Raw genomic sequence first — 13,165 nt, 5'->3', positions numbered from 1 at the left:
AAAATCCATTCAGCCAGTCTATATCTTTTAACTGGGAAATTTAAGCCATTTAAAAAAGTTGTTATTGATAGGTGAGGTCTTATTCCTGTCATTTCAATTGTTTTCTGATAATTTTAAATAATCCTTTTTCTTCCTTCCTTTCTTCCTTCCTTTCTTTCTTTCTTTCTTTCCTTTGTTTATCTTTGCAGTTTGGTGGTTTTCTGTAATGATAACATGTGGTTCCATTCTCTTTCTTATTTGTGTGTCTGCTTTACCAATGAGTTTTATACTTTAGGGTTTTCATGATGGTGAATATAGCCCTTTTGCTTCCAGATGTAGGACTCTCTTAAGCATTTATTGTAGGGTCAGTCTAGTGATGATAAATTCCATCAGTTTTTGCTTATCTAGGAAAGACTTTATTTCTCCTTCATTTCTCAAGGATATCTGTGCTGGGTACAGTATTGTTGACTGGCTAACAGAGGACCAATTAATAAGCCAAAGAAACGGCTCTTTAACAATGAACATTTCTGCCATCAACTGACAGATCCCAGGAATAAATGTTTTCCAGTGAGGAGACTTCTCTGGTTTTCAGAACACCTCTGGCTGCCCCTGCCCACCCCATAGAAGGGCTATCCCTCCAGGTCAGGTTAGCATCATCACCTAGAGCCAACAAGTCAAGGAGGTGATGGTTTGCCTTTGACATCTCTACCCAGACCAGACTCCACTGAGAAGACTCTCCCTTTTTCATCACTGCCCTACCTAGTTAGTTGGTCCTGCCCTGGGGCCAGAGTTTCACTAGGGGCTGAATAGTATACTGTTAGCTCAGGCAACAGATGAACTCTGCCTCCATGCGCAAATACAAAAAGCTATCTCTGCTTCTTTTTCACTCACTTAAGATTTTGGAAGAATGGCTCCTAAAGCGGGTGATCATCTGCCCTCACGACTTACAGTGCCTCAGCATCACATGCTATTCATTTTGCACAGCAAAACCAGGAAGTGAATATGACTGTTATCCCTACTTCACAAGTAGAGGACACTGAGGCCCTGAGAGGTTAAGAGGTGCAGGTAAGATTTGAACCTACGGGCTGTGTGCGGTGGCTTATGCCTGTAATCCCTGCACTCTGGGAGGCCGAGGCGGGCAGATCACGAGGTCAGGAGATTGAGACCATCCTGGCTAACACAGTGAAATCCCGTCTCTACTAAAAAATACAAAAAATTAGCCGGGCGTAGTGGCGCTGTAGTCCCAGCTACTTGGGAGGTTGAGGCAGGAGAATGGCATGAACCTGGGAGGCGGAGCTTGTAGTGAGCCAAGGTCGTGCCACTGCACTCCAGCCTGGGCGACAAAGCCAGACTCCATTTAAAAAAAAAAAAGAAAAAAAAAAGATTCGAACCTATGAGTTGTGCCTCCAGAACTCAAGATCTTTACTCTTTGCCACATCCTTCTGCAAGCCCAATCAAGGACTTGGGTGTTTTCAAGGTTTGCCCTTTCCACACAGCTGCCTCTCTCCTCCAGTCCATCCCAAATGAGGACTTCCTGTGGCCAATTTGCTACTGGGAGGAGGCAGAGACTGCCTCTTGCCGCCTCCTAGGGAAGTTTCTAGAACCTGACTTTGATAGTAGGAAGTAAAGAAGAGGAACCAAGGGTACAACAAGACCTTACTTTGTTTTCAAATCCCTGTTGTGGGGTCACTGCCAGCTGTCCTGTGGGATCTGTGTTATTACTGCTCAACTTGCAAGTTCTTTTCCCCTCCCTGGCCTCAATGTCATCCAAACAAGAGGGTTACAGTGGGTTTTCTAGAAGTCCCCACCTGACTTTAACATAATTTCAGCAACCTACTACTGGGACTACGCAGAGAGGTTTTGTAAAAAATGTACAGCTCATTGTTACCTCTCACTCGGTTCATTGATAGAATTAAGGGACTGGAAAGCCCTGGACATCTCATAATGAAATAAACTAGCCCTTTGTCTTTAAGGGCTCTTTCCTTCAGTATATCTACCTTCCATGTTAGAGCCCCTTTGCTCATTTAAAAAAATGTCAGGGTTATTTTAACAAAGTAACTCAGCAAAGGCTATTTATACGTTTTCAGAATGAGAGAGAGGAAATCCCTAAATAATTCTGTCTTTAGTTCTCCATGTCAGGGTACATCGGCATGGAATTAAAAAAAAAAAAAAAAAAAAACCAAGTCACCAGGTGAGTTGTACAGTGACAAGGAAGAGCTGAATGTGGCCTAGCCTCTCTAGTCTCCAGACAGGGTCATGGCATCAGAATAGAGCAGCTGGGAGGATCAGTACAAGAGCTGAGAGGCCTAGAGTCAGGGTAACCAAGCTCTGTAAGGTCCATGAGGTAGGTGGGCAGGCAGGTGAACAGAATGCTCTGCTGAAAGGAAGACTGACCTCTCTTTCAAAAGAAGATATCAGGGTACTTAACATAGACCATCTTTAAACAAGTAGCCCACTTACTTTCTTACTAATCTGTAATCTGTAATCAGCTCAGAATGAAAGAACAGCATTTTAGCTTCTAAAGTTTTTAAACATCATGTAAAATAGTCTTTGTGAGGCAATGAAGATGTTGCGGGTGTTTTCAACTCTGCAAACCCAAGTATGTTCTTTTCAGTAAACTCTTTACTGAAGTAGAAGATACATAGAGAAAAGCACACAAATAATAACCAGAACACACTGATGAATTTTCACAAAGGAGGCAAACCAGAGAAATCACTGACTAGGTCAAGAAGTAGGACATTGCCAACACCACAGAAGTCTCACTTGTACCCCTACCAGTCACATACCCAAAATAACTATCACCTTTGACTCCTGACCCCATTGATTAGCTTTGTCTGTTCTTGAACTTCATGTAAATGGAGTCATCAGGGTACCCTCTTGGTTTTCTGGCTTCTTTCACTGAACATGATGTTTATTACATTCATCCATGTTACTGTCTGTTGCATTAGGTCCTTTAATTTCATTGCTCAGTACATCTTATCCATTCCACTGTTGATGGAAATTTGGATTGTTTCCAGTCTTTGGTTACTATAACTAGAGAGTCATGAACATTTTTGTAGAATTTCTGGGTCATAAGATACACAAATGCTCAGCTGTAGTAGATCCTGCCAGTTTTCCAATGTGGTTATACTAATTTACACTCACACCAGCCAGAGGATGGCAGCTGTAGTTGCTGTATATTCTCTCTGGCACTTAGTATTATTAGTCTGTCATTTTGGACAACCCTGGTGGCTCTGTAGAGGTTATCTCCTTATGACTTGAATTTGCACTTCCTTGCTAGCATTTATTAGAAAATTACAAAGCCTCTTTTGTGAAGTGCTTGTTCAAATCTTTTGCCCATGTTTTCTATTGGGTTATTAATGACTCATGGAAATTCTTTAAATATTCTAGATACAAACCCTGTATTGGGTTTATGATTTGCAAATATCTTCTCTTACTCAAGGGCTTGCTTCTTCACTCTCTTAATGGTGTCTTTTGATAAACAGAAGTTCTTAGGTTTTAAAATTTTATGTATTTTATTTTTATTATTTTTGGAGTGCAGTTGTGCAAACAGGGCTCATTGCAGCCTCAAACTCCTGGACTCAAGCAATTCTTGCACCTCAGCCTCTTGAGTAGCTGGGACCACAAGGGTATGCCACCACACCTGGCTAATTTTTTAAATATTTTGTAGGGATCTTCCCTTCCTGGCCTCCCCAAGCGCTTGGAATACAGGTGTGAGCCATCGCACCCGGGCAGAAGTTCTTAGTTTTAATGAAGTCCAATTCATCAATCAGTCTTTTCCTTTGTGCTTAGTATATTTTGTATTACATTTGAAAAGATTTTACTCCAAGGTCATAAATTATTCTCTTATGTTATCTTTTAGAAGTTTTATTATTTTGCCTTTCACTTTTAGATCTACATTCTATCTGATTGATTTGTGTGTGTGGTGTGAGGTAGAGTCAAGATTCATTTTTTTTAAGTATGAAGATCCAACTGACCCTGCAACATTTATGCAAACATTATCTGTCCTATTCCAATTGCATGGCAGTATTGCTTTTGTCATAAATCAACTGACTGAATATGCGTGGTCTGTTTTCTAGTACTCTCTTTTCTGTTCCATTGGTCTATTTGTCTATGCTTGTGTGTATCTCACACTGTCTTATTTGCTAAAGCTTCAGAATAAGTCTTAACAAATGTTCTTGCTCAAGATTGTTTCAGTCCTTTAAATTTCCAAATAAAATATAAACTTTATTCCTCAAATAAAATAAACAAAATTCCACTAAAATTTGTTGTAAAATTGTACTGACTCTATAGGTCAATTTGGACAGAACTGACTATAAAAATATTGTCTTTTATTCCATGAATATATATTTTGGATTCTTTTAATGCCTCTTCACAATGATTTTATAGTTTTTAATTACATTTTATTAGATTTATTTCTCTGTATGTTGATGTTATTATACATGACATCATTTAACTTTTTAATTTTCCAATTATTTGTCACTCACCTAAAACTATTTGTTCTCTTAAGTTGATTTAGCAACTCCTCTTCCACGTGGTTAATACTACTAGTTTGTGATCAAAGTTATCATTCAAGGTAGAGCTTTTCAGTCTATTTTCTCTCTGTTATTCAGACTGGGGGATTTATATTGTTCTTTCCTCAATTTCACTGATTCTATCCTCTGTCATATCAATTCTACTATTGAGTAGAATCCAGTGATTTTTTTAAAATTTCTATTGTTATATTTTTTAATTCTATAATTTCCACTTGGTTCTTCTTTCACAATTTCTATTTCCTCACTGAGATTTTTCTATTCCTTCATTTGTTTCAAGAGAATTTGTAATTGCTTTCTGAAACATTTTTATAATGGCTGTTTTAAAGTCTGTCAGACAGTTCCACTATCTGATTCATCTCAGTGTTGGTGTCACTTGTCTTTTCTCATTTAGGTAGTTTTCCTAGTCCTTGGTATAATGTGTGTTTTTTCATTGTATTTGCACATCCTGTTTTTTATGTTAAAAGACTCTGGGTCTTTTTTTTTTTTTTTTTTTCAGGCTATCACCTAAGGTCCTAGCCTAGTTTAGTGGGCTGTAGGTCCAGTGGCAACTTCATTTCAGAGCCTTCATACTATTATAGCCTACTGGAGCTCCCACTGGTCCTTTCTGGTGCCCCTTTCTGGGGCTGAGGGAATTTCCATGGGCTGGGCCACCTGGTGCCTCTAGATGGGCAAAAGGAGTCTCAGGCCTACGGAGACCAAGAGTGCTTCCCAAACTAGGCTGCCTGTTATGATGTGGTTCCTATTGTTGATACCACCCAGTCACCCTACATGTCTGTCAGTGGAAGTGGAGGAGAATACCAGGCTCACCAGGAAGCAGGAGGAATGAGTCTATGTTGGCTGTCTTTTGGTGCCAAGTTGGGATCAGGTAATACCAGGCCTAGGTCACCTTCTCTTGTTGGATGCGGTGATGGTAAGACATCCTACCTCTATTGTTCCTCCAGTCTTAGGGTCCCTAACTAATTCCTCTTTCTGTTTCCATCTTTCAGAGTTCTCCTTTGGTTACCTCTTGCATTATTTCTAGACTTTATAATTGCATTTAACTGAGAGGAGAGAAGACAGAAATGGATCTATGCTATTTTGTCTGGACCAGAAGTCCTTTCAAAATTATTTTGAATGAAATAATTCATGGAATACATCACTACAAAGTCAGCCTTGAATACAATTTATTGACTTAAATATAGCTAAATTATTTTAAAAATTGGTAGACTCTTAGGATCCCGTCCACCCTTGGTCTCAAAAGAGATACCTTTTCATAGACATAGAATACCCTGACATATGGAGAGCCCACCACTTCCACAGTACCATGGAATCAGGGGAATTATCCAAATAGTGGTTTCCTTGTTGTACCCTAGGCAGGGACAGTCAAGAAAACTTCATGGATCTGTAGTGTAAAGCTAGGGAGAAAGAGGAAGAGTTGCCTGTTTGAATTTCTGTAACTAGCGTATCTCCAGATAATGCATGAACAGCCAGTAAAGATGAACGCAGATTATTGATGGAAAGAACACACATGGAGAAGAGAAAAAGCAAGTCCACAGAGCTTTTTAACATACACTCCCTCACCCCTACCCCCAGCTTAGAAGGGCAGGAACCTGCTGTCCAAAACAGGAAATATAGGAAATACCAGCTGAGAAACTGTCCACTTGACGTCCATGAGCCCAGCTGCCCCTCTCACCTCACTCCTATTTTAAGTCAGTGACACACAGTCATGCTTTCCTTTTCTGCACCTGAAGGAGTGATGTCACTCCAGACTGAGTCCTTATTAGAGGTGATGATGGAGTTATTTTTAGACCTGGGAATGGTCTAAAACATTTTGCCTCAGCCTAATCATTGGATCCTTCAAGGAAATGGATATTCTGATGCACATCCCACCCGGTGTCCTATCAAATGGAACCTTAGCTCTCAGGCAACTTGTTAGTTTGAAGGCAGTGACAATGAGGCCAAGAATGACTCCTGGCTCCTCCACTCTGCCATCACAGGCTGCACCCAGAGCCTCCCACATCAGATTGTACCCACCGTGCCAGTGGAAGTGATCTCTAAGTCAAGCTATTCCTGCCCTCTCTAGCCTACTTTCTCTGGGAGGCATTAGAACACAGTCAGATCCCGAGAGTCCAGACCTGGATTCTATTGCTTTGTAAGCTAGGTCTTTGGGCAAATTACTTCTCTAGGCTTTTGTTTCCCGGTCTACATAAATGAGACGAATTCATGGTTATGTGGACTAAGTAAAAAGTTGTAGGTACAAAGTTCCCCTGGTGCTGGCAGTGGGGAGTGCTCCATAATCTCTAGCCATTGCTATTGTTATTCTCAGCGTGCTGAAAGCACTTTCATGTATGCTGTTTCACTTGATCTTTTTTAAAAGGACTGTACATGTTTTAATTAATTTAATCTTCTGTATAGTTTTATGAAGAACACACTCTTTTGACCTCATTTAACAGCTAGCCATATAACTAATAAGTGATAGAGGTAAGATTTAAAGAGAGTCTGGTTTCAGAGAACATTCTCTTGATCACTGTATACAAATATTATTCCAACCATAGTGTAGGCTCTTCTGGTCTTACCCTTCCTATGAGAGAGGGGTTATTGTCTCCATTTCATAAATGAAAGCAGTAAGAGTCAGAGCAATTGACTGAGCTGACAAGTCATAGGATCACTGAACAAGGGCTCCAGTGGCAGTGCCTGGGAGTGGCAGAACAAATAGCACAGTATCACATACAACTGCAGCAACAGCAGCAGTACCCGCAGCAAGTACAATGACACATTTACTACACACTTGCTCTCATTTAATACTCACAAGAATTATGGCCTCTGGGTTCTATCATCAACACCATTGCAGATGAGGGGACCAAAGTTCAGCTGGATCAAGGAAGGTGTTCAGGGGCATAGAGCTAGGGAGTAATGGAGTTGGGTGTCCCCCTGGTCTACCATGCCCAAGCTGTGCCTCAGCTTCTGTGCTGCCATCTCCTGCAGCACTTAAGCAGAACCCCTAAGAACAACTAGCAGCACTTGCCTGATCAATGTAGCCAACAGAAGGAGGACAACCTATTTTTCATAGATTTTTTGGGGGATTTTCTATTTAAATAATCATGCTGCCTAAAAAAGGAGACAGTTTCATTTCTTATTTTCCAATGAGCATGACCTTTATTCCCTTTTCCTGCCTTATTGCAGTGGCTAGAACTTCTAGTACTGTGTTTAATAAGACTGATGAAAGTAGAAATCTTCGCCTTGTTTTGGATTGTATAAGGCAATGTATTCTGTCTTTATCATGAAATACAATGTCTGATGTAGTTTTTTAATAGATGTTCTTTATGAGGTTGAGGAAGTCTCCCTCTATTCCTAGTGTATTTGAGAGGATTTTCTATTTTCATCATTAATGGGTGTTGAATTTTGTTAAATAATTTTTTGTTGCCAACTGCTATGATTATATGGTTTCTCTTCTTTAGCCTGTTGCTATGATAAATTTTATTAATTTCTTTTCAAATATTGAATCAGCTTTGTCTACCTGGCATAAATTTCACTTGGTCATGGTGCTTTAGTCTTTTTATACATTGTTGGATTTTGATTAATTACATTTGATTGGTGATTTTTACATCCAAAGTTCATGAGAGATATTGATCTGTAGCTTTCTTTTTGCATACTTTCTTTAGATGGTTTGGGTATCAGAGTAATGACGGCTTCATAAAGAGAATTGGGAACTTCCTAATTTTCTCTTCTCTCCTATTTTCTGGAAGATACACATAGAATTGGCATTAATTTTTATTTGAATGTTTGGTAAAATTCTTGGATGAAACCCTCTGGACCTGGAGATTTCTTTTTGGGGAGTATTTTTATTATAAATCCAATTCTTAGAAATATCTACACAGCTATTCAGATTATCTGTTTCACCTTGGCTAAGTTTTAGTACTTTGTGGTTTTTGAGGAATTAGCCCATTTCTTCAAACTTGTTGAATATATGAGCATAAAGTTGATTACAGTTTTTAAATTATCTTTTTATAGCTAAAGACATCTATTGTGGTGTCCCCTATTTCATTTCTGATGTTGGTGATTCATGTCTTCTCTCTTTTTATATTTGCCATTCTTGCTAAAAGTTATTAATCTTATTAATTCTTTTAAAGAGACAACTTTCTGTTTCATTTTTTCTTTTTCCAGTTTTCAAGTTCATTAGTTTCTGCTCTTTTTTATTTCCTCCTTTCTGCTTCCTTTGAGTTTATTTTGCTCAACTTTTCTAATTTCTTGAAGTAGAAACTTAGATTAGTAATTTGAGATCATTCCTCTTTTCTAATGTAAGCATTTACTCCTATCAATTTTATTCTCAGCACTGCTTTAGCTAATCTTACAAATTTTAACATGTCATATTTTCATGTTCATTCTTTTCTTGTCTTTTTAAAATTTCCTTTGAGATTACCACTTTGATGCATGGATTATTTAAATGTTTTTTGTTTAGTTTCCAAGGGTTTGGAGATTTGCCTATTGACTTTCTGCCTTGATTTCTACTTTGATTTTATTATGGCCAGGTAACATAGTCTGTATAATTTCAATTCTCTTGAACTTTTTAATGTTTGTTTTATGATCTAGGATATTCTCTATCTTGGTAAATGTCTCATGGGACCTTTAAAAAAATGTGTATTCTGCTGTTGTTGGACAGATTGTGCTATGAATGCCAATTAGATCCTGTCAGTTGATGGTGTGGTTGAGTTTTTCTATATTCTTGCTGATTTTCTTGCTAGTAGTCCTAGAAGTCCTGAGTGCAGGGAGACAGCAGGGATTGATGCCTCAACCACAATTGTGGATTTCTTCTTTCAGCTGTCTTAGTTTTTGCTTCAGACATGTGAAAGTCTGTTGTTTGGTTCATAGGTATGTAGAGAAAATGCTCACTAACTGTGTTTTTCTTTTACTGTCACACCACAATCATCAACACAGAAGAAAGGCCCAGTGACTCATGGGAAACTACTGTATTAAAAACTTGCAGCTAATGTTTTAAATTAACCAGAAAAAACACAAAAGTCAGAACACTGCACCAACAGATAGAGCCCTGTGCCTTTATAAAAGAAAAAAAATATTGCCTTCTATACACTCTCCCTCACCATAAAGATAATCCTCTGGTTTTCTCCTAAGTAACCAGAGAGTGGATACCCCACACCGCAAAAAAATAAAATTCTATTTGTTGAATATCTTTTGTCTTAAAGATAACAGCTCAGGAAAAATAGACTGCACTTAACATGATTTATGTCATTCCTTTTTTGTGCCCTTATACGATATGAAGAAAGGCTTCTGTGTTGATGTTGTCATGGTGTGACAGCAGAAGAAAAACACAGCTAGGGAGAGTTTTCTCTATATACCTATGAACCAAACAACAGACTTTCACATATCTGAAGCAAAAACTAAGACAGCTGAAAGAAGAAATCCACAATTGTGGTTGGGGCATCAATCCCCCACTGTCTCCCCACACTCAAGACTACTAGGACTACTAGGGAGAAAATCAGCTAGAATATAGCAGCGGACACCAGCTGGGTGTCCTCCAATGCAGTTCTGACACTATCTACCCAGAGATAGAGTCAGATCCCACAGGTTGAAGGTTCAGCCCCCAAGACTGCCCCCATACACACACCAGTTGTAAGTCTGGGCCTCCACAACTTCTGACTAGCCAGCTTCAAGGTGGGGTTCCCATGACCCCCTCTTTGGGTTTGATTAATTTGCTGGAGCAGCTCTCAGAACTCAGAGAAATGTTTACCTATGTTTACGGGTTTATAATTAAAAAATATTGCAAAGGAGACAGATGAAGAGATGCCTAGGGTGAGGTATGGAGAAAGGGTCACGGAGCTTCCATGCCCTCCCTGGGTGCACCACTCTCCAGGAACCTCCACATGTTCAGCTATCTGGAAGCTTAACAACCTTGTCCTCTTGGCTTTTTATGGAAGCTTCATGATGTCAGCATTCCTTCCCCCAGGATATAGGGTGGGACTGTCTCATGGGAGGGTCTTAAGATCCACAATGAGAAAGGCAGAAAGGTGGGAGAACATTAGAGTGAAAGGAAGGCAGGAGAAGGTCAGAGGCCTGTCCCTGAGGCCTAACACCCCCAACAATATAACAAAAGACTCTAACACGGGATGTGGGAGTTATGAGCCAGGACCCACGGATGAAAACCGACATATATCATAACATCACAACAGGAGAGCTACATCTTCTTGGTGAATTAATTCTTTTTGTTATTATGTAATTTCCCTCTTTGCCTATAGTAACTTTCTTTGCTCTGAAGTCTGCTTTTTCTGATGTTAACATAGCCACTTGTGCTTCCTTCTGACTAATGTTTACACGTTATAACTTTTTCCATCAATTTGCTGTCAGTCTACCTATATCATTGAATTTGAAGTGAGTTTCTTGTAAACAACACATAGCTGGGTCATGTTTTGTAATACACTCTGCCAATCTCTGCATTTTAATGGATGCATTTAGAACATTTACATTTAAGATAATTATTGATATATTAGGACTAAGTCTGATATTTTATTATTATTTGTTCTCTGATTGATCCTTTTGTTTATTACACTTTTGTTTCTTTTTTCTTGCCTTCCTGTGGTTTACTTGGACATTTTTTGATGTTTCATTTTGATTTAATTGTGATTTTTTTTTTCGGCATATCATGTTATGTTGTTTCCTTAGTGCTTATTATGTTTGGAAACTCTGTAGATGGACAGCCTTCCATGATGGGGAGGAAGCTGCAGGGCCTGGGTCTCCTTATGCCACTGGATGGAGTCTGGGGAGACACAGGGCTTCACAGTGGCTGCTTCTGTGGGTGAATTAGGCCATGTGCTGTGTCTAAGTTGTGGACTGGGGGCCAGGACTGTCCAGGGCTTTGCTGCTGCTACTATTGCTGCTGATGCCACTGCTGGCAGATCAATCTCTCTGCAAGGACCCTGGGTTGTACAAAACAGGGGCTAGAGCTTCCTACTGGGTCTCTGTTGGGGCTCCCCTTTCCTGAACTTTGGCCAAAGACAACAGGATATTCTTGGGGGTTTTGTTGTTGTTTTGTTGTCATTTTTTCTGTGCCTGTTGGTGATTCCAGCACAGCCCAGCGTATATGGGAGACGAAAAGAAAACTTAGAAAACTTACCATGTTGCTGTTACTCAAGTCCTGAGGTTTCTTGCAAGTACACCTTTTCTTCTAGCTTTCAGAGCCCTTTATCATTGTCTGCTGAATAGTTTCCAAGGTACTTAGTTGTATTTAGAGGAGCAGAGCAGGGAAAAATGAGTTTAACCATCTTGTTCCAGAACTGGAAGTCGGCAGAGCCTGTTTTAAAAATAATGTTTAAAACAAATTTTATTTCCTGGGTGATTTTCCAGAAAGCAGAAAAAGTACTATCGATGGCACTTCCTATAATAAAAACTACACCCTATGCTTTCTTGGAAGGAATCAATTGCATTATTCAACAGTCGTCTTCCTCTGAACCTGCTCTGCATTTAGTCAACAGGATATTGAATTCCTTTTAAAAATCTAAACAGATTATCACTTCTTTCCTGAACCAAAAGTTGATTAGTAATGTAAATACTTGTCTGTAACACAGAAAACTGTGTTTTCTTTGAGCTCTTCCTATTCCGTATCCCTTGTCTTGAATGAGGAGTTTTTCCTTTGGCACCAAAAGGTTACAACTACATTTATCTACAAATAAACTACCATAGAAGAACTGGAACTTTCCTAATTATCAATGTTTAGCTGCACTAATAAAGCTTTCTTATATCTGTGTTCTCCTTGTTTCTTGTCTTGGACCCTTGCCTGACACAGATAGGATGGGCTTTCAGCCCAGTGACTCACGGGAAACTACTACATTAAAAACTTGGAGCTAATGTTTTAAATTAACCAGAAAAAAACACAAAAGGCAGAACACTGCACCAACGGATAGAGCCCTGGCCCTTTATAACAGAAAAAAAAAATACTGCCTTCTATACACTTTCCTTCACCACGAAGATAATCCTCTGGTTTTCTCTTAAGTAACCAGAGAGTGGACCCTCCCACAAAAAACAAGTTCAATTTGTTAAATATCTTTTGTCTTAAAGATATAGCTCAGGAAAAAGTAGACTGCACTTAACATGATTTATGTCATTCTTTTTTTGTGTGCCTTATATGATATCTCATGACTTGGAAAACTCCTATAAATATGTAAAATATTAGAATGTATAGCAAACAATTGTCAGTTTACGTTATTTTTGGCTTATCTCAGTACAAAGATTAATGTGGTAAAATTGAATATTTATATCCTTAAGATAAAATTGAATGTTCCAATGTGAAGTAACATATTTTCAAGTACATTTTTTTTTCTGAAATCCCTTTATCACCACAAACTCTATCTTTAAAAAAAAAAAAAAGTTCACAACATATACCATTTTCTGGCTCTACATGAAAAGTTTATTGTTTGTGTGCAGGGTTAAAGAGAAGCCAATAAGTTAACATGTTATATTTGACATGGGAGCTGTTCACTCCAAATTTTAAGAAAAGCCAGAAAAATCACGTACAGGCAACCAACCAGAGCGTTAAAATGGCCTTTTGTTAATTGTTAAAAATCTGTATAGAAGTACATTTTTTTTTAATTTGTAAAAGTGGAAGCAATTTGAGTCACTTTAATTTACAGCATGAATGGAAGATTCTTGGAGTCATCTATAAC

At 38.8% G+C, this 13,165-nt stretch overlaps 1 long non-coding RNA gene across 1 annotated transcript in view; it reads right to left on the bottom strand.

Annotated features, from left to right (window-relative positions):
- NCAL1 (NK cell activity associated lncRNA 1) overlaps window positions 1-13,165 on the bottom strand; it is a 282,375-nt gene that overhangs the window by 119,465 nt on the left and 149,745 nt on the right. The window contains exon 2 of the long non-coding RNA NR_186253.1: window positions 11,620-11,796. This is a non-coding gene — a long non-coding RNA (NK cell activity associated lncRNA 1). The remainder of the gene's footprint in view (window positions 1-11,619; window positions 11,797-13,165) is intronic.

The sequence above is a fragment of the Homo sapiens genome, chromosome 2, assembly GCF_000001405.40.
Source record: "Homo sapiens chromosome 2, GRCh38.p14 Primary Assembly".
NCBI lineage: Eukaryota > Metazoa > Chordata > Mammalia > Primates > Hominidae > Homo > Homo sapiens.
Note: the sequence above shows the minus strand (reverse complement) of the source record. Positions and strands in the feature narration are given on the sequence as shown.